The sequence below is a fragment of the Homo sapiens genome, chromosome 11 (genome assembly GCF_000001405.40).
Source record: "Homo sapiens chromosome 11, GRCh38.p14 Primary Assembly".
Classification (NCBI taxonomy): domain Eukaryota; kingdom Metazoa; phylum Chordata; class Mammalia; order Primates; family Hominidae; genus Homo; species Homo sapiens.
This window is the reverse complement of record NC_000011.10, coordinates 59,747,819-59,773,852: the sequence shown is the minus strand read 5'-3', so window position 1 is coordinate 59,773,852 and position 26,034 is coordinate 59,747,819. Positions and strand designations below refer to the sequence as shown.

The 26,034-nt window shown below is 46.6% G+C and overlaps 1 protein-coding gene and 1 pseudogene across 18 annotated transcripts in view, besides 6 other annotated features; both read right to left on the bottom strand.

Annotated features, from left to right (window-relative positions):
* The window catches only part of STX3 (syntaxin 3), a 51,691-nt gene extending 32,026 nt beyond the window's left edge, over positions 1-19,665 (bottom strand). For 12 of the 17 annotated variants that reach the window (NM_004177.5, NM_001440524.1, NM_001440526.1 and 9 more), the window contains exons 1-2: positions 18,218-18,477; positions 559-642 (exon numbers count right to left, since the gene is read on the bottom strand). In NM_004177.5, coding sequence (NP_004168.1) covers positions 559-642; positions 18,218-18,247 — 114 coding nt within the window. In that variant the 5' untranslated portion in view covers positions 18,248-18,477. Of the gene's footprint in view, positions 1-558; positions 643-4,086; positions 17,986-18,217; positions 18,478-18,618 lie in introns of those variants that run through there. The other 5 variants (XM_017018192.2, XM_017018193.2, XM_017018191.2 and 2 more) reach the window with 3 other exon arrangements.
* Positions 18,277-18,536: a silencer, noted in NCBI's record as "silent region_3369". NCBI's record gives its function as "represses an Ori minimal core promoter by ATAC-STARR-seq in GM12878 lymphoblastoid cells {active_cell/tissue: GM12878}" and the evidence as "EXISTENCE:reporter gene assay evidence [ECO:0000049][PMID:35858748]".
* Positions 19,407-19,566: an enhancer, noted in NCBI's record as "active region_4760". NCBI's record gives its function as "activates an Ori minimal core promoter by ATAC-STARR-seq in GM12878 lymphoblastoid cells {active_cell/tissue: GM12878}" and the evidence as "EXISTENCE:reporter gene assay evidence [ECO:0000049][PMID:35858748]".
* Positions 19,407-20,047: a biological region, named in NCBI's record as "Sharpr-MPRA regulatory regions 192 and 10030".
* Positions 19,503-19,797: an enhancer, noted in NCBI's record as "tiled region #10030; HepG2 Activating DNase matched - State 4:PromP, and K562 Activating DNase unmatched - State 1:Tss". NCBI's record gives its function as "activates a minimal TATA promoter and a strong SV40 promoter by Sharpr-MPRA in HepG2 and K562 cells {active_cell/tissue: HepG2 | K562}" and the evidence as "EXISTENCE:reporter gene assay evidence [ECO:0000049][PMID:27701403]".
* Positions 19,547-20,047: an enhancer, noted in NCBI's record as "H3K4me1 hESC enhancer chr11:59521279-59521779 (GRCh37/hg19 assembly coordinates)". NCBI's record gives its function as "activates a minimal SCP1, AML or CMV promoter by ChIP-STARR-seq in naive H9 embryonic stem cells {active_cell/tissue: H9 hESC(naive)}" and the evidence as "EXISTENCE:reporter gene assay evidence [ECO:0000049][PMID:30033119]".
* Positions 19,563-19,857: an enhancer, noted in NCBI's record as "tiled region #192; K562 Activating DNase unmatched - State 1:Tss". NCBI's record gives its function as "activates a minimal TATA promoter and a strong SV40 promoter by Sharpr-MPRA in K562 cells {active_cell/tissue: K562}" and the evidence as "EXISTENCE:reporter gene assay evidence [ECO:0000049][PMID:27701403]".
* On the bottom strand, positions 24,272-25,041 carry OR10V2P (olfactory receptor family 10 subfamily V member 2 pseudogene; annotated as a pseudogene). Its single transcript, NR_045005.1, has one exon. The product of NR_045005.1 is annotated as an olfactory receptor family 10 subfamily V member 2 pseudogene (transcript).
* Between the last annotated feature and the right edge of the window lie 993 nt (positions 25,042-26,034).

The following is a 26,034-nucleotide window of genomic DNA, read 5'->3' as shown; positions in this document are numbered from 1 at the left end:
GATTACAGGTGTGCCTGGCTAATTTTTGTATTTTTAGTAGAGGCAGGGTTTTGCCATGTTGGCCAGGTTGTTCTTGAACTCCTGACCTCAAGTGATCCACCTGCCTTGGCCTCCCAAAGTGCTGGGCTTACAGGTGTGAGCCACCATGTCTGGCCCCAAAATTTTCAAAACTACACATTTGATGTATCTGAATCACAAGCCTAAAGATGCAATGTTTTATACTCATGGTTGTGATCCTATGGTTGATTCTGTATTTGTTATGTACTTTAAGCAAGAAAGGATATCATTAAAATGTTGTCATACGGAGTAAGATTTTAAAAGCATCTCTTCAATTACATATAATTGACCCTCTGCTGACTTTCTTAAGATTTTTAAAAATCCAGATTCAAGTAAATATTGAAAATAATGTTATTTTAATTTCTTTGTCTGGCCATCCCACCCTAGCAAAAAACTGTGACCTTCCTCTGCTACCCTGAAAAATCTAAGGTTTTTTATTCTTACTAAGGAAATAGTGTTTCCTTATGTACATTTAGAAAAAAATACAGGAAGGTTGCCTACCTCAGAAAAGAACTCGTCCATAAAAGCCGTGTTGTCGATAGCAATCTCAACCGCATCAGTATCATCATCCTGTGTCAGCTGCTTCTGCAAAAGGCAAAAAAGAGCAGAGTGAGGCTAAAAACACAATAAATGGCTAAATTATTGAATGCTCACGAAGTACTAGGAACTATATTCAGCATTTTACACATAATTTCCTTTAAAACTCATAACAGCTCTCTGATATATCAAATTCCGGTGTCTCAACATCTGAAATTAAATCCTAGCTCTACCAATTGCTGGGTTGTGTGTGTGTGTGTGTGTGTGTGTGTGTGTGTGTGTGTTTCTTTCAGGGGGTGAGGGGTGAGAAAGGGAGGAACTGGCAAGTTACCTATCTTGCTGTGCCTAGGTTTCCTTATCTGTTAAATGCTGATAAAAACACTACCTGCTTCATAGGATTGTGTAAGGTATAAAAGAGATAATGAATATAGGATGCTTTTGTATGGTGCCTGGTACACTGTAAGTTCAACACATGCTAGGTTTTGTTGCTGTTGGTTGTGGTGGTAGTTACTGTAACTCACTACAGTTGAGGAACCTAAAACTTAGGGAGGTTAGGTAACTTGGCAAAAACCACACAGCTAAAACATGGCAACAGGTAGAATCAAACTTATCTTTTGGATCTGAACCCCAGGGTCGCTAAACCCTTCTCCATGCTGTTCAAACAGGTTCCAGACACAATTCCTACAAAGGACAAGCTTTCAATTTTCACATTAGGAGTAAAGATTTTCCTGTTTTCAGAAACCACCTATCACAAAGGAAACAATGCTATGTCACTCCCTGTCAGAAGCTCCTGTTTATAAGAAAGAGGAAGCTCTCCCCCGGCCCCCAGCCACCTCTGGGGACCCAAGCTTTCTCAATCTCATTCAACTTCCTCTGTAAAAATTCACAAAATGGCCATCTAAAGGAAGTGATTCCATTCCCACCCAGCATAAGGGCCTGAGCTGTTTCTACATTCCTGTTCAATGTTCTTCCCAGACAGCTGCTGCACAGCACATTGCTGATTTCTAAGCACAGAGAACTGACTGTTGTGAAAGGTGGAGGTGAGGCAGGGGATAAACCCCCCACACCTGCTTCTTCACAAGCTTCATCAGCCTCTGACCCTCTAAGTCCAAGATATAGCACTCTCGAACACTTAGAATTCCATGGGCAATGAATGCCACCAGAAGCCTCTTTCCTTCACCCACGACCATCCCCCTGAATCCACGGCAGAAGTTGTTACTGGGAAATCCTATGGCTATTTGGGATTCTCCAGCCATGTGGACAGTCTCTTGATTGGCTCCCCCAGCATCTCATTCTCTGGCTGGTCTGCAACAATCAGCATCCCCAGGTTAATAGCCACATTCAAGGGAGTCGAATTTGAGGGCACTGCTACCACCTCCCCGATCAACTTCCCTAAACTCAGAACTGATCATGTCCTTCTGCCACGTAACATCATCCAATGATAGCTTAGCTCCTATAATTTAAAGGCCCAGTGCCTAACAGAGCACGTGGGGCCCTTTAAGATCCAGCTCCACCCATACTTCTCCTTCTATGATGCACACTCTAGACCAAGCAAGCAGTTGGACACACCATTCCCTGGACACACCATTCTTTTAGATCACTCTATCACACAGGGAGTTCTGCTGAAAGGCATTGGTCCAACTGACAAACATTTCCTTAGCCCTTAAAACTCAGCTCGGACAACCTCTGTATGCCTGACCTGGGCATGGCTCCCGCATGCAAAAGTTAAAACCTCCCTAAGCTCCCACTGCACTTTGCACAAACTTTCGACACCAACCATCACAGCCCTTTACTCACCTGTCTTTCCCCACTGACTACAAACTCCTGGAGATTCTGTGGGCGGGCGGGGGGGGGGAGGTGGGGGGACGGGGGGCAAATTTATGCAGGAAGACTCACTCTGTTGCCCAGGCTGGAATGCAATGGCGCAATTACAGCTCACCCCACCTTCAACCTCCTGGGCCTAAGTGATCCTCCTGCCTCAGCCTCCCAAATAGCTAGGACTGCAGGCATGCACCACCAGGCCCCAAGCTGGTCTCAAAATCCTGGCCTCAAGTAATCCACCCGCCTCAGCTTCCCAACGTGCTGGGATTATAGCTCTGAGCCACTGCACCCAGCCGAAGTGGATACTTGTATGTGTGTCTGTGTCTGCTCGAAACACCTTCCTCTGTGGAGCAACCCCTCACGCCCTCCACATGATTTGGGGGAGTCGATCAACCGTGACCCAGGCTCCCTGAGGAATCTGAATTGTGAAAGGAGTCTGAAGTGAATGGGCCCGAGTCAGTTGATGGCTGCCCCCAGAGATGTCCATGAAATTCCCAGAGCTGCCCTCATTCCCATGCTTCCCACAACACCCCTTGGCTTTGGGCAGGTTCTACAGATCTTCCCTAGTCTTCTTTCAATGAGTTGAACAGTATCCTCCTAATATGTCTTTTTTAAGTTCATTTAGCCAGACTTGAGTTTTGTCACTTGCAATTAAAACTGAGCACTGTACTTGTCATTAATTAATTTATTCCACATTTCCTGAGCGCTCACCCTGTAACCAGGCATATAATAGAAATTTAACCAATTTTAGCTGAATAAATAACTAGCTTCCACAAAGACTAGCAGCCAGGATTCACCACCAGTTTTTAAAGTTTGAGACAAAATGTTCCCTTCATCAAGTATCATCAACTCTCAGGCCCCTCAGCAACCTCTAGAGAGTTCCAGCTCCCAAGAGGTTCACTGTGACCCGGTCTTCCTCTAGGAGAGTGAGTCAATAAGCTTTTTAGGGAGTATCCTTTCTTCAGAGTCATCTAGAGAATGACTGAGGGGACAGACCTCAAGTATATCTGTATACATACATATACCCACACACACACACTCCTCACAGACACACACACCCTATACATACACACACTCCACACATACACCCGCCCACCCACACCCCATATACACACACGCTACATATAAACACACACCCTACACACATACACTCCACACATATACCCACCCACATACACTCCACATACACACACCCTACACACGTACATTACACACATACACCCCACCTCTTCATATACCTTTCATACACATACAGCACACACACACACCCCTTACACGCACACCCTATACACACATGCTGCACACGTACACACTCCACACATACACCCACACCCATTCCACATACACAAACACCCAACACCCACTCTACACATATGCCCACACCCATTCCACATACACACACATCCCACACACACACACTCCACACATACACCCACACACACTCATAACCCTCCCACACACATCTGCAAGCTCCCACACACCGACACCCACAACCCACACCCCACTACACACATACACCCACACTCCAACACATCCCCTCCAAACATACACCCACACACCTTCCCCCCCCACACAAACACATACATACACACACACACACACACACACGTGTACACTATAAGACATCAATTCAGTCTTCAAACACGTGTTAAGGAAATGGGAAGAGGCTACCATCATGGGATGGATTAAAGGAAGTTTCCAGAAGCTGGGAACAACTGTGACCTGGAGCATGGGAGGCAGACACTTATCACTCCATCATGACGTAAGTTCTTGAGACCCCTAGTATCCACACAGGGATTCCCCACATCCACAATGGCTACTTCTTAGCTTTGTGCAGATGTAGCCAGGCAGCCTGGTCGCCTTCAGTGAGAATCTGTGAAACGGGCAAAGAGAAACCTAGATCCAAAACCTGCTGTTTCCAATTACTGGCTGGGATGCCTCAGTCAAGTCCCAAACCTCTCTGAGTTTCCAACCTGTAAGTAGTAATACCCCCACAGACCTTATGACCTTTATGAGGACTGAACGAGATCACATATGGAAAGCACAATACCAGGCATACATCAGCGCCTAACCCCGCTGCCCCGCTGAAAAGATGTGGGTCTACATGAGCAGAATCCCCTGTGAGTCATCACTGTCCGCACCCATCCTCATCCTCCTCCTCCTCCTCCTCCTCCACAGGAAGTTCTCAAACTAAAGGCTAAGTCAGTAAGATCGGCTCCATGGCAACATAATGGCCAGGGCTCTATACCACGGTCCATCACATGCTACTCACTGAACATTAAACAGATGGTTTAACCCCTCTGAGCCTCAAAAATATGGAATCAACCTAAGTATCCATCAATGGATGATTGGATAAAGAAATGTATGTGTCCCTGTTTCCCAATACATGTGTGCAGGGGAGTAGATGACAAGAAATTACTTAATGGATACAATGTATACTATTTGGATGATGGATACACTAAAAGCCCAGACCTCACTACTATGCAATAGAGCCATGTAACAAAACCACACTGCTACCTCCCTGTAAAGTTACACACATGTAACACATCTCTGAGCCTCAATTTCCTCATCTATAAAATAGTAATAATAGAGTATTTTTGGACCTTGCTTGAGTAGCAGACCCTGTACCATTACAACAGTCTCCTGCCCATACCCACCTCCATTATCTCTCTGGTCCAATCCCATTATGTCCCTGTTTCCCAATACATGATGGTTCCCTATTACTTACTGTATAAAAGTCCTCAGCCTGTCTGTCATAACCCTTTGGAAGCTGACCGTATTTATGCGTTTAGCTATATTCCCACTATTCTCCCCCAGACACCTTCTGCTCATCAACTTGATCTCCTCATGTCTTCTGCACACATCCCATTGCTTCCTGCTCCTGGGCTTTCTTAATACCATGCCCCCTCATTCCCAACCACCATCAATAGTCATATTAGCACTATGTCCCCTTATTCCCAATCACAACCAATATTCATATACTCCTCTGCTATTCAAACACAGGGCCCATTTCTCCCACAAAACTTGCCCCACTTCATGTTTATCAAATAGTTTAATGAGTTGCAGTCTCAACTTCAAGCTCAATTTTAACCAACCTGAAGTCAGGGATAGTATCTCGTAAGTGTTACTAGTATCTCCTGGGCACCTGACACAAGGCTGGGCACCTAGAAAGTTGAAGTTGATATCAACTGACTGAATCTGCCTGTCACATGCAATGTGACTGCATGCCTACCAGCACTGCCAAAACGTACTCTTTGGTTTTACTGCAACAGAGAGAATCCCTGCAAAATCCACCCCTCTTCCCTGCCTCCTTCTTCTATAAAAAATATATGCTATCTGCCAGGGATGCTGTGAGAATTCAATATGATAATATTTTAAAGTTCCCTATGCAATGTAGAGCACACAGTAAGAACTCAATAAAGCAACCATACATAAGATCTGGCCAAGTCAACTTCTCTACAGCTTTGACCTGGATATGAGTATCTTTAGATACAGGACTTTCAGAGCTGAATGCAATGTTAAAGATTTTACCATCAAATCCCCTCACTTAGAAAAAGGGAAACGTTGAGGTTGAATTCTGGGTCCCTGAACTCTTTTCACTTTCTGTCCAGAGAGGAGGTCTGGACAGAAACCAGGGGGAAACCAAGGCCCAAAATGAAATAATGAGTTACTGACACAGAAAGGAATAGAACCCAGGTTTCTGGATTTCCATTTTCCCATGCAGAGTTTTTCCCACTGTAGCATGCCACTTCCAAAAATACAAAATAACAACAACAAAGTTTGGTCCAGATCAGAAAACTCAAGGAAGAGGCCATCATCGCATGTTATCTGGAGTCACATGAAACTGGAGCTAGCAGCAGGCTTCCCTACAGAGCAAGCTCAACCAATCTCAGGGTAAGGGCTCCTGCCCTTCTGACACACATGTGCTCTCTTGCAGATCTAGAGGCATCAGAACCCAAGGGCAAGGAAAGCACACAATGCCCTTATCTTCAGCCCACATGACTGAGCTTAGCCAAGAAGAGAACTTCAGCATCTTTATCAAAGAATCAACATATCTGGTAATAGGAACATTACAGTAGCTGCAATATCAGCCACAATAAAAAACACAAGTGAACCACAAGCCCAGCCATCAACTTCCTCCCCTCCCCAACCTCCAGATGCCTCTCGCCCAAGGAGATGAGAGATATCACCAATGACTTAGGCAACACTGAACTCCAACCTGGGATCTATCTCCCCCGACCCTACCCCTCAAGTGTGCCCCCAAATCCAGAAAGGACAGCCAGGGTTATGACCTCCTCTCTGGACAGAAAGTAGAAAGAGTTCAGAGGCCCAGAATGCAACCTCAAGCAACTGAACTGCAATTCCTCTCTCTCAAGGCTCAGTGTCTTTGTCTCAACTGCCTTCTCTATCATTGTTAGTCTATCTGACCACAGGTTCCTCTCTTCATTAGCTCATATAATTTATAAAAATATTTGCAACCCCATAGAGCCCCTAGTAGGTGCTAGGTGGCCACAAGACACTAGCTGCTTTGTGTACACCATGTCAACGAATCCCATCTGCAGTATGTAGTTGAGAACATGCAGGTCAGAGAAGGTGTAAGTTATTCAAGGTCTCCCAGCTACTGATTTGCCGAAACAGGGCTCAAGCTTAAGTCATCTGTCCTAAGCCCTTCTTATCGCACTGCACGCTGCTCAGGGCAGCCTGTCACTGAGAGCAGCTGGGGCCCAGAAGCTAAGCAGCCCAACCCTGCAGAAAGCATCCTGGGCTGAGAAAGTGGAGCTGTGGCCCTTTGGGGACAACATTTGTTTCCATTAAGCCTTTCTCATCAATTAAGGAGGGGCTTGGCTTTCCAGTGCAGATTTGCGGAAACCCAGGAAACTTCACATGTGCCTCAGAAACCCCACTCAGGGTACTCAGGGAGTGGGGAGCCAATGGGGGGACGTAGCTGTCCTGAGCCTCACCCCCTCTTCAATCTACAGAGCTTTACTTTTATCTGCTTTATACACTGGGATTCAATATAAGATTTCATTTTAAGAAAGAGTCCTACTGTCACAAAAGAAAGAAAAAAAGTTGGAAAATCACAGAAATAGATGAACAAGTGCTTTCTAAAAAGAGTTTGTCCCTCCTTTCCAAGTTAAAACACATCTGCAACGTAAGTTTAAATCATCAGTATCTCCTTAAGAATGTTTACAAATCAGAGCAGCAAGGCAGAATGAGACAAAGAAAAAGGAAGTCATCCCAGATGAAGAGCACAGTGTTCACCAGCTCTGATTCTCTTCCTGCCACAGGTGCCAGACCCCAGGCAGACAAAAGGGTCCCAGGACAAGGCAGAAAGCCCAGGAGCCCCCAGGAAAGTTTCTGGGTCAAAGAAATAACAGAGGGGAAAGGGTATATCTGGTCCTTAACTTCCCACAGTGGGGCATTAAAGATTTGTGGGCCGGTGGGGCAGCACCCCTCCTGGCACAACCAAGCGAGTACAAATTCTTGCACCTTCTCTTCTCCAAATTTAAACAATTATTTCTCTGGAGACACAGATGCTTCTTTATAAATCCAGATTATCTCCCAATAAATTTAACTCAAAGAAACAATGACACACCTGGGTTTTGTTTGTTTTGTTTGTTTGTTTGTTTGTTTGAGACAGAGTCTTGCTCTATCTTCCAGGCTGGAGTACGGTGGTGCAATCTCGGCTCACTGCAGCCTCTGCCTCCTGTGTTCAAGTGATTCTCCTGCCTCAGCCTTCCAAATAGCTGGGATTACAGGCGCACACCACCACACCCAGCTAATTTTTCTATTTTTAGTAGAGACAGGGTTTCACCATGTAGCTCAGGCTGGTCTTGGACTCCTGACCTTGTGTGATCCACCCTCCTCGGTCTCCCAAAGTGCTGGGATTACACGCATGAGCCACCGCACCCAGCCTGACTCCTGGTTTTTCTTGTCCTTGCTACCCACTTCTCCCAACTGCCTCCCTCCAAATGAGGGTCTGGGGATTCCTAAAGACAAACACCACCACTTACAAAGGTTACACAGACACACACAGACACATACACACACCCATGTGCACACTGCCCAACATCTGGTCTTTCCAGTCCCTCTTCTTTAAAGAGCCAGAAATTCTGAGTGTAGGTTCTCAACAGGCACTCCATGCTCTCTGTTTCCTATGTGAAGAGTCAAATGACTCTTCTCCAGTGCCCAGTTCTCTCACTAAGCTGTGATTTCTCTTCCAGTGAAACCCTCCCAGAGGGCACACTTCCCCTTTTCACTTAATTCCATCTTCCCCAACACACTCATCAGATGAAATCAAGAGGAGATTGACAGATAATGATATCCTAAGTGAGCCTCATGCTTTTACTTTGAAGAAAGCCCTAGCTGAACAACTTGAGGAAAGAATTAGCCCTATTTGAAAGATGAAGACACTGCAGAATAAATCCTATCAGTGAGCCCAAGGCCAGTGAGCCAGTGGACAACTGGACAAGAGCCAAGGTCCCTGAGGACCCCACTCCACTCAGTGTGCCCTAACAATAATAATAATAATAATAATAATAATAATAATAATAGATAATGTGTGTGTGTGTTGTTGCAGGCACTTTTGTGGTTTCAAATGTATTAATTCTCACATCAACCCTCTGAGGGACAAATATTACTTTCCCCATTTCCAGATAAGACAACTGCTTAATTAAATAATTCATCCAAAATGATTCAGCTAATAAACGACCTCATTAGGACTCACAGGCAAGTCTGTGGGAGCCCAGGGCTTCTGCTGTTCCCCACTACACACACTTGAAGGCATCCTCCCCACTCAGGCTCAGTGAACACGCTCTCGCTTATTTCAGGGGATACCACAACATCCATAAAACTAAGTTGGATTAACCTATATGCATGAGTGAAAAAGATACCAGTGTATATAATCCAACTCAGGCAGTCAGATGTATCTCTGTACCTCTACAGAGATACAGAGTTGAAAACCTGGCTCTACCATTTAATAGCTATATGGTCTTAAACAGATTACTTAACTTCTCTGTGCCTCAGTTTCTTCATTTGTGACATGACAAGAATAATCTGCTCATAGAATTGTTGCAAGGATTAAATCAGTACCACAGGAGACATGTTTAGAGCAATGCTAGGCACATATTAAATGCCCAAGATCATGTTATCTAAAGCAGAAAATTGGGCCTTGTTTTTGCTAAGAGTTTCTGGCAAAGATGCAATTCTAATGCCAATTCTTAGATGGTGACACTAGATGTCTCAGGAGGAGAGAATTTCATGTATTCATTGGCATTTACCTCATGTGCTTTAAATCTGTCATTTTTCTACTATATGCTTTTAAAGAAACAGAGCTCCCTCTCAATTCTTCTTCCACTACTTCTCCCAAATTTTGATATTTACCGCTCTTGTGATCATTCCTTTTATTTTTTTTTTTTTGAGACGGAGTTTCGCTCTTGTTGCCCAGGCTGGAGTGCAATGGCTTGATCTTGGCTCATTGCAACCTCCACCTCCCGGGTTCAAGTGATTCTCCTGCCTCAGTCTCCCAAGTAGCTGGGATTACAGGCATGCGCCACCATGCCCTGCTAATTTTGTATTTTTAGTAGAGACAGGGTTTCCGCCATGTTGGCCAGGATGGTCTTGAACTCCCAACCTCAGGTGATCCACCTGCCTCGGCCTCCCAAAGTGCTAGGATTATAGGCATGAGCCACCGCGCCCGGCCGATCATTTATTTCTAAATAGTTTGTCATTTCTACTTTGATTTATCTTTAGCCCAAGAGTTATTTAGAAAGGCGTTCTTACATTTCCAATATGGATTAGCCTGGGGAGGACAATTATTGTATTAATTTCTAATTGTATCACTGTTAGGAAACGGCCTATATGACTTTTATTCTGTGAGATTTGGCATTTTCTTTGTGTCTTAATACATGGTATTTCTTAATCTTCTATGCGTATTTCAAAAGAACTTGCATTCTGCTTGTCGGATACAAAAATCATTGAAGTCCAATCCTCACATGCCATCCTACCTGCTTTTGCTTCTCCAGACCTGAGGTGGGTCTAGACAAGAAAGACAAAAACTCCCAAGAAAGGAAGAAGAGGGGGAAAAGGCCCTCTAGGTAGATGTTATGTACACTAACAAGGAATCTGTGGCTAGGAAGGTTAATTCATCCAGAATCACACAGTAAGGAACACAGCCAAGATTAGAAACCTGGGTGGTCTAATCCAATGTTCACTCCTTCATTAACTCAGAGAGGCATCTCAAGGTCTCATCACCCATCAGCACAGCCACAATGTTCCATGCAAAGTAACAGATTCATTTGTTCATTCTTTCATCCGGCAGTATTTATTGCACATCTAACATCTGCCAAGCAACAGTCCATGCGATACAATACCACATGACACGTGAGGACAGTGCTTTAGCCCAAGGAATTACACACCCAAGAGAAGACGCAGTGCCCAACCTTGCCTGAATTCAAGGTTGAGCCTGGGGAAGATGGAAGCTTATTAGAGAATGTTGGCAGAAGTGACTCCTTGGAGAAATTTTGTGGAATGTGTGGATTTACCCAAATGAAACCTACAAGAAGGCCACTCAGGGTGAGGAGATCAGACCTTCTTCCTGCTTTCTTTCTCATCCCAGGAGCCATTCAAGGAGATTCAAAGAAGGCCTTCTTCTTCCTCCTGGAGATCTCAGGTGTCCTTTAGATCCTTCCTCCTCCACCCCACACTTCTTCCCTCTCTTCCACTCCCTTCCCCTGTCTCCTGTCCTGGCCTCTGGACACCACCATGGCATTCAGTTCTCAAGGACACAGAGAGGAGGAAGAAAGGAACTAATACTGTCTTACTCCATCCTCAGCCTTCTCCCCAACCCCTCCTTTCAGCCTCTGTCCCACAAGCTTCCTCTCCCTCATGGTCATTCTAGAATACTTAAATAACAGTGACAACGCGCAACCTTCATTAAACACTCAACATGTGCTGAGTGAGGATCCTTCTAAGATGTGTGCTTTCTATTGACCATGACAGTTAATCCCTAGGCCAGTCTTCTGGGGATATTCCCCATCTTACAGCTGAGAAAACTAATGCATAAAGACACCAAGCAACCTGACCAAGATCCTGCAGACAGTGGGCACCTGAGCTAGGAGGGGTGCCTGGGCAGCTGGCTGCCGGGACTTTGTCCTCAGCCATCTGGAGTGTTGCCTCTTAACGGCTGCTCCACCACCACCCTAGCTGTAGCATGTAGCACTGGCCACAGGAAATGTGCTTCCAGAGCACTAGAAAACAGATGCCGGAGCCCTGCCGCCAAGGTCACAAAAAACAAGAGACTAAGCAATTGTCAGACAGGCCAGAGGAAGCTAAGGAGATGTGACAACCGAATGCAATGTGGTGTCCTGGATCGCATCCTAGAACAGAAAGAGGACATTAGTGGAACAACTAGTGAAATCCAAATAAAGTATGGAGTTGGGTGAATAGTAATGTACCAATATAAGTCTCTTAGTTTTGCTAAGTGTACACTGTAGTATAAAATGAGACCAAGTGAGGGAACCAGGAGAGGACTAGACAGGAACTCTCTGTACTATCTTTGCAACTTTTCCATAAATCTAAAAGTAGGCTAAAACTTAAAAATTTATTAAAAAAAAAAAAACCCTGATGCCATACTGAGCTGTCCTAACCCAGACAGCTGAACATAACCAGACAGTATTTGCTCCACTAATCTCTTTAGGTGGGGGGTTGAACTTCACTCAGTTTCCAGATGGAGACTGGGGAAAGTTGCCATGGAAATGGTCCAATGCCAAAAAGCAGGCTACCCTGAGAGAGGAGATGGGGTGGGGGCAGTTGCAGAGGGGCCTAACATAAAGGTGGCTGGAGGTAAGGCCCCTCAGGGACTACAGAATCTGCGGGCAAATAAATTTACAGAATATCCCCATTCATTGACAGGACAGTTTGGTTTACAGCTTTACAGGCTTTGGGCTGGGAAGGTATAAGAGAGAATGAGACATATGTGGTCTGTGCTCTCCCAGAGCACAAGAACTAACAGAGCCAGTGGCATCTGAAATTGCAATACCATGTGGCTATTTGTATACACCACCAAAAGTAAAGTTTGCGGGGTCCGAGGAAAGGCATGCTCAGTGCTGTCAGCCTGGGAAGCTGGATGACACTGGAACTGAGACTTTGGAGATATGTAGGATTTTGCCAGGAGAAAAATGGAGTACCTAAGTTTTCACCATGGTAGCCACATCTTCGCCTTCATTGTCTTTCTAAATAGGGGCAACCTTCCATGTCATCTTGGGCTAGGTGTTTAGGTGTAGTTAGGAGCCTTGGAACTCCGTCCTTGGGGATGGACCTGTAAGGTCTGGCTTCATTAGCAAACATATGGATTCCCTCAGTAAATGTTCCACTTCAGGTAGGTAAAGATTCACCAGCCCACAGGGAATGGAGCAAGAAAAATAAGTCATAATAATGAGTAAAGGATGTGTAAGGGTCAAGCTGTTATTAATCAACTAAGAGACAAATGTTTAATACAGGCTTACCATGCAGAGTGCTAGGCCCTGGGGCTCCAGAGGACTATCATAACTGCTGTTGCATCAGAGGCATATAGTGCAGTTAGGGAGATGATCGAATACAGTGTAAGGGGATACGAAGAAGCAAGACACACACGTTCAATTCTTGAGCCCACCACTTCCCAGATGGGGATCTCAGTCAAACCTGAGACTCAATTCCTTCACTTGTAAAACGAGAATAATATCTCAATTCCTTGCTTGTAAATGAGAATAATATAAAAACCCACTTTGCTTTGCAGGGTTGAGAGAATTAGAGACAAGGTATGTAAGGTATGTAGCACAAGTCTGTCCAATAGTAGCTGCTCAATAAATGATTGTTGTTATTGTAATTGATGTGGTGACAAGAAGTACTAGAAACACTGACCTTAAAGACAAAAGGACCTAGAAGATAAAGGGGATAAAGGGTCTAACTTATAAAAAGCAACGGACAGTGGTTTCAAACCCACTCCATGGTAATTAAAAAAACAAAACAAACAAACAAAAAAAAAAAACCCACAACCTACTGCAAAGCAACATGCACCCCGTGAGAGCTGCAAGAATGGAGGAGAGTATTCTAAGTTGCAGTTACAGAACACTACTACCTATAAAAAATGAGTTTTGGAAGATGGGTAGAAATTTTGACAAAAGGCAGGGAGGAAGCTTTGGAAGAGAGAGAGGACAACATGAACAAGTGTCCCTCCCTTAGCTCCTGCCAATTCCCCCGACTTCCCCCACACTCACAGGAATAAAAATAAAATTAATCCTCTTCTCTCATCCAAGCATTTTCTGGCCTCCGGCTGATGGGGCTGTAATCCCTACTCAATCCCCATCACTCTCAGCTCTGGTTCCCGTCTGCTCACAGAAAAACAGCTCTTCCAGAGAATGAATCCTCCCAGGTACAGAGAAGAGGGGAGGCAGGAATCCTGACTTGAATGAAATTTTATGACTAGAGAAAGACAGAATCTCAGTGAAGCGCAGATTGGTATGTTAAGGTTCAGTTATGATCCAAAGCACCTGGCACATAAAAGCGGCTCGATAAATATTTATTAACAAATTAAGCTTTAAAGGAGAAGTACACAGCTCCATGTTGCTGATGGGGTTATAATGTTATCCTAAGGAACTATGATTCCACAAAGATCCTGGAGCTTCCAGTGGGGAAGGAGGCCAATAACAGCCATTTAGGAAGCAGCAAGACACAGAGAGAGTAAAAAGTTAGTCTGGCCTTTAGAGCCCCAGGTGGTTGATTTCATTAGTGTGTCCTTATTAGTGCTGGTCTTTGAAGGGCCATTACATCCACGTCATTTCCAGTCCTCTACAGATCCGTCTCCAAGGGAGTCCAAAGCCTTCAACCTCTATTCCATACATCACTGGCTTCTCCATTACCACCATATGGCTTTGATTACTGTTGGCCCTCTTGTCATATACTACATGTCTTTGTCTTCCCTATGTGATCATTTACCCTTTGATACTAGGACTTTGTCAATCCTGCCTAAACTTGACGCCCAGCAGGATGCTAGGCACACAGAGGTCACAAAGCTCTGATCATGGTGGTCAGCAGGTACCATGCACATGCGACCCTGCTGATGCTCCCTTGAGTTGTTTATATGCTTGATGGTTTATACACCAATGCGAGAGTGATTAAGACAATCTAGGATCCTTGCCTTTCTTGTTAAGCCTCAATTCACTCACTTGCAGAATGAGAATAATAGAAAAACCCACTCTGCTTTGCAGGGTTGAGAGGATTAGATACAAGGTCTCTTTACTTATCTGGTACGTAAAGTAACTTATGTATCTCCAACCACCTTTACATATCTGAAAAGGTCAGATTGGGCTGGAAGAATCAGCTGAGCTCAAGCATTACTACTTCTTGGGAACCCACCCAAAGCCTCATGCCCATCTCCCATCTTCCAAAGACTGGCCAACAGGGTCTTCCTGTGGTTGCTTCTATCACAAGGATGATATCCTCATGTCTATTTCTTCTGTTTCTTCCTACCTGACCATGAACTTTCTAAGGGCCAGGAACATGCGTTTATCACCATTACACTCCAGCATCTAGTACAAGGACTGGCACACAGTGGGTACTCAGTACTCAGCAAATGTTTGCTGAATGAAAACAGGGCCATGCAAAAGCATGGAACTGTCTGGACTCAGCAGATTCAAAGTTCAGCTGCTGAGAAGTCAGAGAAAACCATGTCCTGGGATAGGCTGGGTAGAGGCACTGCACATTCTTGGCAAGCCTGTCCTGTGTCACTGAAAAAGCAGGCTGTCGAGGGAGCCCACCAGGAAGAGCAGTGCAAGAGAAGAGATGAGATGAGACCAGGTGAGTCAGATCTTGTGACCATGGCCTCAGGAAGGGATGCCCTTCTGTGTGGACGCTGTTGCCAGCAGGCCAAGACAGAGGAACTAACAATAACAGTGGTGGGTGATTGTCACGGATTATCTCATTTTATCCTCACAATGATCCTATGGGAAAAGGGTGATGAGCCACTTTACAGGGGCAACTCTTGAGGCCTCAGTCCCTGTAGACTTCAAAGCCTCAGGACAGGCTCACAATTAAGCATTTTATAAAACCACACATTCTTAAGGTTGGTGAAGGCCTTATATCTCCTAGTTCACCTCCCCTCCAAGAGATGCTCAAATTCCTACAACATTCAAAATCCCAACAAGCTTCTTGCTTCCTTCCCATGCTGGAGGGTGCACCATCTACTCCATCCTTGGGCAGCTCTGTCTACTAAAAACGCTTTCTTACAGATTCCTCATTTCTACCCATCAACCCCACATGTTCTCTTTGTATCTACCCAGAACAAAGTCAATCACAGGCACGGAAAGCCCTCCAGTTATCGGGAGGCAGTTACCACCTCCCCTCCCCAGGATTTAGAAAGAACACCACAGAAAGAGATTGCATAGGCTGCTCAATGTGCAATTTGTTTCATGCAGGTTAACAAACGCTTCTAATTGATAACGGAAATCAGAGGGAGAAGACGCATATCTTGTTTCAGTGAGGGTGATCCCTGGGAGTCTGGCTGGGGAGAGGGGATAAGAGGAGGTGAACTGACACCAAAATCCACATAAACCTTAACAGTCTTCAAAGAAAAACCTATAATAACGCCAGAGGGGGCTTCTGAGATCAACTCAATTCTTTGTTGTATAAAGGAGGAATTGAGAAGCAGAGAAGTGACGCAAAGAAGCACAGTGATCAGTCTTGGAACCTGCCACCTGTGTCCCTTTGTCCCACGCTGCCATGCATCTGCTCCAAGACGCTACAGAAGCCACCCTGTGATTTCAGAACAATCCTCCCATAATACCACCACCATCTCCAGTCTCACTTTCACCACATCCCCAAGAGGGAAGGGGAGGAAACCTATCATTAATTCCATTGTACAGAGGGTAACCATGAGGCACCGAGGAGAGGCAAAGAGACTTGCTCAGCGTCCCCAGGCAAATTAAATTTATTCTTGGAACTCAAAGCTCAGTTAAGACTCTTTGCTCATTGTTGACAATGAGCTACTGAAAGGGGCCATGGAGTATCTTCCTCTGGAAGTGGATTTCCTAATAAATGGAAGAGCCTGCTGTTCAGTTTTGTACTTTTTTATGGTTGCTGGGTGTGCCGACACAGAGAGATCTTCAAAATCGTGCTCTTCTTTTCCTTCTGCCTCCCCAACCAGCGTGCTTCAAGGGAAGGAGCACTGTGGAGAGTGTCAAGAGCCTGGGTTCCTCTCCTGGTGGTGCCCTGGCCGGCTCTGTGTCCTGGAGCATCCCTCCTACCCCGTGAGCAGCAGTTTCCCCATCTATAAAAACAGGGGCAATAAATTCTGCCCCATCAGTAACCTGGACGCTGTGAGGCTGAGATGACTAAGCACAAGCCTGAGGCAGAGAGGCCACTCCCACAATAGGCAACTGTCCCTTTGCTTCTCTCACTTCCCCAGCTACCTGCCTCCTCCGCAGCCCTGCTACACAGAACAGGTGAAACAGGAATGAAGGTCTCATCCAAGCAAGGGAGAAAAAGGATAAACTCTTGTAACATCATCCCAGCAGTCCCTGACATCTGCATTTTCCCAAGAGCACTCACAGTTATTAGCATATTTCACCATTTATTAAGTCCCCCGTGCCATGCACCCTAAAAGTGTTCTTAAGCATCTTCTGTTGCATTTCGACCTTACAACTACCCATTTTACAAATGACAAAACTTAGGCTGGGATTTTAAGGGATCACCAGTAAGCAGTGGAGCCAGGAGACAACCCCAGTTCTAATCCAGTCCAGTGCTTCCCAAACTGTAATGTGCCCATGAATCACCTGGGGAAATGGATGAATAATTAGATTCTGATTCTGCGGGGCTAGACTCAGGCCTAAGCTGCTACACTTGTAACAAGCTCCAAAGTAGATGGACTAAACTCTTGAGTGTCAAGGGCTAGATTTTAATTCTATTAAGGTAGAACCTGTGCCACTGAATCTCCAAGGCTTAGCACTGGACCTCCCCATAGAATACACTCAATAATTATGTACTGAATGAGTCAATGAATATCTGGCTTAAAACCCTATGCGTTAACCCTTTTCTGTATCAAGTTCCATTGTATCAGCTGATCCTCCCAACAAATTCCTAGGGTATGATCATTCCCATTTGATAGATAAGGAAACAGAGACTCACAGTAAGTAACCTAAGGCTTTACAGCTTTTGCGCAGCCAAGGCTGGAGGTAGTCTACCTTCAGATCCTTTGACCTAACCACAGCTGTTCCAAAAGATACGGCGGGGGAGGGGGGGACAATGACACCCGGGGATAACAATTACAGACCACCGGTTGGAGAGGAGCTGACCCATCCCAGCATGTGACCGGCTCACAGCTCCAGAGGTCACCAGAGAGCTCTGAGCTGCTCCCTGGGGGAAGGGGCAGCCAGGCCTGTAGCACCTCAGGAGAGAAACAGGAAAGGGAGAAGGAGGCTGGTCCTGGGCATAGTGCCAGGCAGCAGTGGGCAGGTGGTGAAGGGACCCCTGACCTCCCGGGCCCAAGCACCCGCTTCGGGAACCAGCTCTGGACAGACACTGTCCAGCTTGCGGGGTGGGAGAGTTAGAGGCGTTCAGGAAAATCATTGCCTAGCGATGAATCACCGGGCACATGACCCCGCAGGGGAGGGGAGGGGAGGGTGCGGAACCGGCGCGGGAAGCGGTGGGGGCTTGGGGAGGGCAAGCCTCCGGCTCGGGCCCCCCTCCAGCCTCGACTTGGGGAGCAAAGGGAAGCCCCTCTCCCATGCAGCACCCCTCCTGGCAGCACCCCGCCTGCGGCGAAACTCACGGCCTTCAGCTGCTCCAGACGGTCCTTCATCCTGAAGCCCAGGCGCCCGGAGGCAGGTAGCGCGTCCCAGGTGAGCGCGTCCCAGGTGAGCGCTTCCCAGGTGAGCTGCCGGAAGCGGCGGCCGGGCCCGCCGGGGCGAAGGAGCTGGAGGCGCAGGCGGCGGCGGGCGGCGGCCGCTAGCTAGGAGGAGCGTCCGAGGCCACGGGAGCCTCCGCCGCGCAGCCCCCTCCGCCCCCACCGGCGCCTCGCGCTCCAAATCCGGCTCCCGGGCCGGCGCCGGCGCAGCGCTGATCCGCCCTGGACCCGCCCCTACCTGGCCGCGCCCCTCGCTCCTTCTTAAAGGGCCCGCGTCCCGCCACCGCCCGGCCGCCCGGGGCGTCTCCAAAGCCCCCTTCCCTAACCCGAGAGCCCTCCAGACACGCGTGGAGTCCGGGGAGAGGCCCCTGCACCGGCGGATCCTGCCGCAGGGCCGAGGAAGAGCAAGAGCGACTGTCTGGCTGCGGTCATTCGCTGTCTGTGCCGGGCTCCTCGCTAGGATCCAGTTCTTAGCCGACTCCTTGCTAGGCGGGGACAAGCTCCCGAAAACAAATAAGACAATGTGATGTGGGCTACATTGGGTGGCAGTCGAGTGTTCTAAAAATATCCCGCCAGGAGGAAGGCATTCCGAGTAGCGGGATCCCGCGCAGCCTCAGGGCTGCTGGCAGTGAAAGTGGGGGGATGGAGGAGGTGTCCAGAGGAAAGACCTGGAGATCTGGAGATACAGGACGGTCAGGGTGGTCAGAGAATTTGGATCTTTTGCTTGTTGGAAATCGGGACCGCTCCGAGAAACGTAAGCAGCTCGATGTTGTTAGTGCCAGTGGAGACACTTGGCACTCACAATTTGCAGACGTTTGGGAAAGCATCGTTTCTCAAGAGGACCCCGTTCCCGTGTCTGTAAATCAGAGATGGTACCCACTTCGTAGTTCGCTGTGAAGCCTGTGAGCGAGGAGGGGCTTTAAAATACAGAACTTTGCACTGGAGCGCTCCCCGTCCTCGCAGCCTGCTTGGTGTGCAGGTGGTTCCCAGGCGGCTTCTGCTTCCGAAAAGCAGATCGTCCCTTTATCTCGAGTCTTCTCCCCGCCTCTCCCTCTTCTCCCTACCCTATTTGTCTTCTTGGGAACAAATGGCACATTCATCAGAGTGGAGATCCATAAACGGGACTGGCGAGCCGAAGATTTAATTCTGAAGAATAGGATCTGCTCTGTGCTTTCAGGTTAAAAAGCTGTAAATATCTTTGTAATTCTAGCAGTACTTTGCCCTCTTCTGCCATCTGAACGCGTGCTCCCTGCTGACCTCATCGGCTCCCATAAAGATACGGTGCGTATGGCAGAGGTCGGGCTTTGAGCCGGCCCCGCGGGTCTCGGCCGTAGTTCTCTCTCGCGTCCGGCACACTTCCTTCTGCCCGCTGTGCTCGCTGGGCAGGTTGTCCCCGCCTTAGTACCAGGAGGGCTTCCGCGCCCCCTGGTGGTCATACTAGGAAAGGCGAGTAGATCAGAAATACACACTGTCCCACCTCCTTCCCCTAACACATTTTTGGGGAGTTTGGGGGTTGTTTGTTTGTTTGTTTGTTTGTTTGTTTGTTTTTTAGACAGAGTCTCATTCTGTTGCGCAAGTTGAGTGCAGTGGCGCGATCACCGCTCTCTGCAGCCTCGATCCCCTGGGCCCAACCCATCCTCCCATCTCAGCCTCCCAAGTAGCTGGGATTACAGGCGTGCGCCACTACGCCCGGCTAATTTTTGTGTTTTTTTCGTAGAGATAGGGTTTCGCCATGTTGCCCAGGCTGGTCTGGAACTCCTGTATTCAAGCCATCCGCCCGCCTCGGCCTCTCGAAGGGCTGGGATTACAGGCGTGCGCCACTGCGCCCTGCCCCTTAACAGATTTTTGTTAGTGGGAATACGTAGTTCCCCGCGCTTCAAGAAAATAGAGTCTTCCGCGAGAGGCCGAGATATGAACAACCCTTCACGTTAGGAATCTGAAAAGGACCATTGGGGTCTGGAGTAAAAAATTCTCTTTCCACAGCAGGAATCAAGGGTGGCCTGTCTGCCTCTGCTCAGAGGGTTCCTGTTACAGGATAATTGTTTTGAAAAGAGTAAAATCATGACTCCTCTACAAATATAAAATGCACACACATCAAAGACTTTAATTCATTAATGAATGAGGAGACCAGTAAAGCTAGCCCTGTCCAGAGGAAAACACAAAGTGTACACACATATATAGGCAATCAGGAATGCTGAAACGAACATGTTAATAAATGCACAACTGGCCGGGTGCAGTGGCTCATGCCTGTAATCCCAGCACTGTGGGAGGCTGAGGCGGGCAGATCACTTGAAGTTAGGAGTTCAAGACCAGCCTGGCCAACATCTTGAAACCTCATCTCTACTAAAAATACAAAAAATTAGCCGGGCGTGATAGTGCACGCCTACAAATCCCAGCTACTCGGGAGGCTGCGGCAGAAGAATCTCTGGAACCTGGGAAGCAGAGGTTGCAGTGAACTGAGATCACACCACTGCACTCCAGCCTGGACCACAGAGCAAAACTCTGTCTTAAAAATTATATTTTTAATAAAAATAAATAATAAATGCAGAACTGGCCTCGGGGTGCTGGGAGAGCAATTGCACTTCTACCAGGCATCTCTATGGACAAGAATCATTGGCATTCCTATGAATTTTCTACAACTTACCAAGTTGGAAAATAGCTGCAAGATTTTATAAGGCAAAAATCACTAAAAAATCAGGTAATCCAGAAAGGTGCTTTAGATAAGGCCTAGCATGCCACAGGACACCCAATAATTTTTGGAGTTTTTGCCATTTTAACTTTTTTAGTTTTTCCAGACATTCCCAAGGTGGCACCTTCCATAGTTGTACAGTTTCAACTGTGTTAAAATTTCTTTGTCGGGGACTGTTGTGGGGTGGGGGAACGGGGAGGGATAGCATTAGGAGATATACCTAATGCTAAGTGACGAGTTAATGGGTGCAGCACACCAACATGGCACATGTATACATATGTAACAAACCTGCACGTTATGTACATGTACGCTAAAACTTAAAGTATAATAATAATAAGAATTCTTTGTCAGCTTGGGCAACAGAGTGACACCCCATTTCTACAAAACATACATAAATCGAGCCAGGTGCAGTGACTCACGCCTGTAGTCCTAGCACTTTGGGAGGCTGAGGCAGGTGGATCATGAGGTCAGGAGATCGAGACCATCCTGGCCAACATGGTGAAATCCCGTCTCTACTAAAAATACAAAAATTAGCTGGGCGTGGTGGTGTGTGCTTGTAATCCCAGCTACTTGGGAGGCTGAGGCAGGAGAATTGCTTGAACCCAGGGGGTGGAGGCTGCAGTGAGAATTGCTTGAACCCGGGAGGCAGAGGTTGCAATGAGGCGAGATTGCGCCACTGCACTCCAGCCTGGTGACAGAGCGAGACTCCGTCTCAAAAAAAAAAAAAAAATTAGCCAGGTATAGTGGTGCTCACATGCAGTCCCCAGCTACTCAGTAGGCTGCGGTGCAGGATTGCTTGAGCCCAGAATTTTGAGGCTGCAGTGAACTATGATCACGGCACTGCACTCCAGGCTGGGTGACAGAGAGAGACATGTCTCAAAAAAAAAAAAAATTAAAAGTATATCTATTCCTTTAAAAAGAGGAACAGGATATTTATAATGAAGCACAGATAAAGGGCAATTGGATAATTGTGGCTTTAAACTCCTTGTAATTAAAGAAATAAGCCATCTAATGTATTTCCTCGTTTGAATGTTTGAATAGCCATACTGAATTTTACTGCACTTTTATAACTTTGTTTTGTCCTGATATCTCACAATCACTCAGGGAGGGAGTTAGGGTACATATTATTATCCCCATTTTATTATAAATTAAATTAAGTACAGAGAAATAAGATGATTTTCCCAAGCTCACATAGCATGCTGATAGACATGCTGCAAAAGGCAGTGGTTGCCTGCCCAGGCTGTGGAGCCAAACTACCCAGGTCAAATCTCAGTTCTACCACTAATGGTTGTGTGACCTTTGGCAATTGATTTAATGCCCCTGTGCCTCAATGTCCTTATCCGTAAGCAAAGATAATAATAATACCCATCTCAGCCGGGCGTGGTGGCTCACACCTGTAATCCCAGCACTTTGGGAGGCTGAGGCAGGTGGATCACTTGAGGCCAGGAGCTCAAGACCAGCCTGGCCAACATGGTGAAACCCTGTCTCTAAGAAAAATACAAAAATTAGCCAAGGGTGGTGGCTCATGCCTGTAATCCCAGCAACTCAGGCGGCTGAGGCATGAGAATTGCTTGAATCTGGAAGGAGGAGGTTGCAGTGAGCCAAGATTGCACCACTGCACTATAGCCTCAGTGACAGAGCAATACTCTGTTTCAAAAAACTAATAATGATAAATAATAATAATAGTACCCATTTCATGGGTTTTTGTGAAGATAAGTGAGTTAATATATACGAGAATTGTTAATTCCGTAATTCAATAACTTGAAAAAAAGTCTGCTAACCCTTTATAACTGCACTGCTTTTTCAGAGAGCACGGGAAACTGAGAAATGCCTGGAATATTTCATTCACAGATAAAATAATAACCATCTTGGTATTCAGAGTCAGCATTTTCCAACATAAGTTCAGCATTCTCCAACATAATGCTGCATTTATCAACATAAGTTCAACAACACAACCCACTTCAAGACGTCCTCCAAAGAAAAAAGAGTTTGGAAAACATCGCAAAATAAATCCCTCAGCTTAGGGAATCATGACCACACATTTGCGGGAGAAAGGGGAGGGGAATGAATAGTCGTGGGGAGAACAGTTTGGAGGCAGACTGATACAGAGCCAGTGATTCATATGGAGACCAATAAGCTCTGGTATAAAGGTAAGAAAAGAGATCGGGTGTGGTGGCTCACACCTGTAATCCCAGCACTTTGGGAGGTCAAGGTGGGCAGATCAACTGAGGTCAGGAGTTCGAGACCAGCCTGGCCAACATGGTGAAACCCCGTCTTTACTAAAAATACAAAAATTAGCCAGGTCTGGTGGTGTGGCACCTGTAGTCCCAGCTACTTGGGAGGCTGAGACGGGAGAATGCTTGAACTCGGGGGGTGGAGGCTGCAGTGAGCCAAGATTGCACCACTGCACTCCAGACTGGGCAACACAGCAAGACTCTTATCTAAAAAAAAAAAAACAAGAATAGAGAAGCTACCGAAACTCCAAGACTCCGATATTTTCTCCATCACCTTTCCCTGGAATAGAAATTAGGATGAAAGATTATTAATTCAAAAAAAAGCACAAACTCAGTGGTCCCAGTTTCATTTGAATCCTATTCCTGGCTTAGCCCCACGTGTGCACTGTTTGGGCCTGCTGAGAACCTGAGAACAACATCTGGAGATAAATCCAAGGTAGGGCAGATTTTACATGATGATGAAGATGGCAATAACCACATTTACTGCCATATCTCCCTTTTTTTTTTTTTTTTTTTAGATGGAGTCTCACTCTTGTTGTCCAGGCTGGAGTGCAGTGGTGCAATCTTGGCTCACTGCAGCCTCTGCCTCCTGGTGATTCTCCTGCCTCATCCTCCCACGTAGCTGGGATTATAGGCACCCGCCACCATGCCAGGCTAATTTTTGTATTTTTAGTAGAGACAGGGTTTCACCAGGTTGGCCAGGCTGGTTTTGAACTCCTGACCTCAGGTGATCCACCCACCTCAGCCTCCTAAAGTGCTGGGATTACAGGCGTGAGCCACTGTGCCCCGCCCATATCTCCCTTTAAAAGTCACAAAGTACTTTCACTTAATATATCTATTGATCCTCAGAAGTACCCCCAGAATTTAGATCCTGCAGGTAGTTTAATCTCTATTTTGGAGGTGAAGAACCTGAGGCTGGGAAATGGAAAATGACTTTTCAAAAATAATATAACTAAGAACTAACAGTATAAAACACAATCAACTGTTGTGCCCCTTCTCCTTATCTTTCTGGCAGTATGCCATGTGTCTCTGCCCAGCAGTATTGAAGAGTGGCATGTGTTTAGAGCAGCGGGACCCTCGTCATTGCTCTCTTCAAAGCATCCTTAAGTTCTGTGTTCCTCATGCTGTAGATCAAAGGGTTCAGCACAGGGGTAATGAAGGTGTAAACCACAGACACTGCCTGGCCCCTCTCAGGATAGTAGCTAGAGCTGGGACACAAGAAGGCGAGGCGTGTACATCAGTCCTGGAGGAGAACCACAGTCAGGTGGGAGGAAAGGTGGAGAAGGCCTTGTGCCTCCCCTCTGCAGAGCAAATCTTCAAGATGGCGGCCATGATGGAGACATAGGAAAGAGTGATGAGCAGGAAGGGGACGGTGAGAAAGGTGGTGCTGACCATAGACATAGTGGCCTCATGGACCCAGGTATCTGCACAGGCCAGTCTCATGACAGGGAGGACATCACAGTAGAACGTGCTGATTTCTTTGCTGCTGCATAAAGGGAGTTGGAAGATAAGCACGGTCAGCTGCATGGCTAAGAAGAACCCCAACAGCAGAGACCCCAGGGTCAGCTGGACACACAACCTCCAGCTCATGATGAGGCCGTAACAGAGAGGACAACAGATGGCCACAAACCAGTCAAAGGCCATGACGGCCAGCAGGATGCAGTCAGCCCTTCCCAGGAAGATGAAGAAGAACATCTGGCCTCCACAGCCGGGCAGGGAAATGAGGTTTCTCCCCATGGGTAGGACATTGGCCAGAGTCAGAGGGGCAATGGTGAAAAAGTAGAAGATCTCCAGACCTGCAAAGTTTGTCAGGAAGAAGTACATGGAGGCTGGGCACGGTAGCTCATGCCTGTAATCCCAGCATTTTGGGAGGCAGAGGCGGGTGGATCACCTGAGGTCAGGAGTTCAAGACCAGCCTGGTCAACATGGTGAAACCCCATCTCTACTAAGAATACAAAAATTAGATGGGTGTGGTGGCATGCCCCTGTAATCCCAGCTTCTAGGGAGGCTGAGGCGGGAGAATTGCTTGAACCCAGGAGGTGGAGTTGCAGTGAGCCGAGATTGAGCCATTGCATTCCAGCCTGGGTGACAAAGTGAGACCCTGCCTTTAAAAAACAAACAAACAAACAAACAAACAAAACTGCATTCTTTTAAAGGCTGAATAATACTCCATTGTATGTATATGCTACCTTTTGTTTACCCATTCTTCTGCTCATGGACACTGAACTATTTCCACTTTTTAGCTATTTTGAATAATGCTGCTAGGAACATTGGTGCACAAATACCTCTTTGAGTCAGCACTGAAATTTAAAACACACTATACCATTCCCAGACCACAAAGCCCTCTACTTCTATCTCTTGCCTGGTTGTCAAGAGTACAGCCTCTAGTCTAGGTTCTAATTCCTGGGCTGATTGACCAAGAGTATGACCTCGGATAACCTGTTGAAGATTTCTGCTGCAACTTCTTTATCTATAAATATAACGGTAGGACGCAGCTCAAAAAACTTGTTGTGAGAATAAGTGTATCTGGCTCCCAGTCAGCTCTTCATAAATGTTAGCAATAATCATTAATACTATGAAGTGAGCTTGCTGGGAAATGTCTCAGGATGTGCTAGGGAGGCTGAATGTTGCCTCCTTGGTTCCCTTTTCCCACCTCTTGGGAAACAGGGGATATAGGGAGAAACTTCACAGCTAGACCACCTGGGTCCCATATTTTGGGGTTTTTACCAAAGTGTTTTTGTCTGTGGATAGTTGCTAGTTGACCTTTCTGTGGGGGGAGTGAGGCCTGGGACCCCCTAGTTCACCATTTATTGATGCCA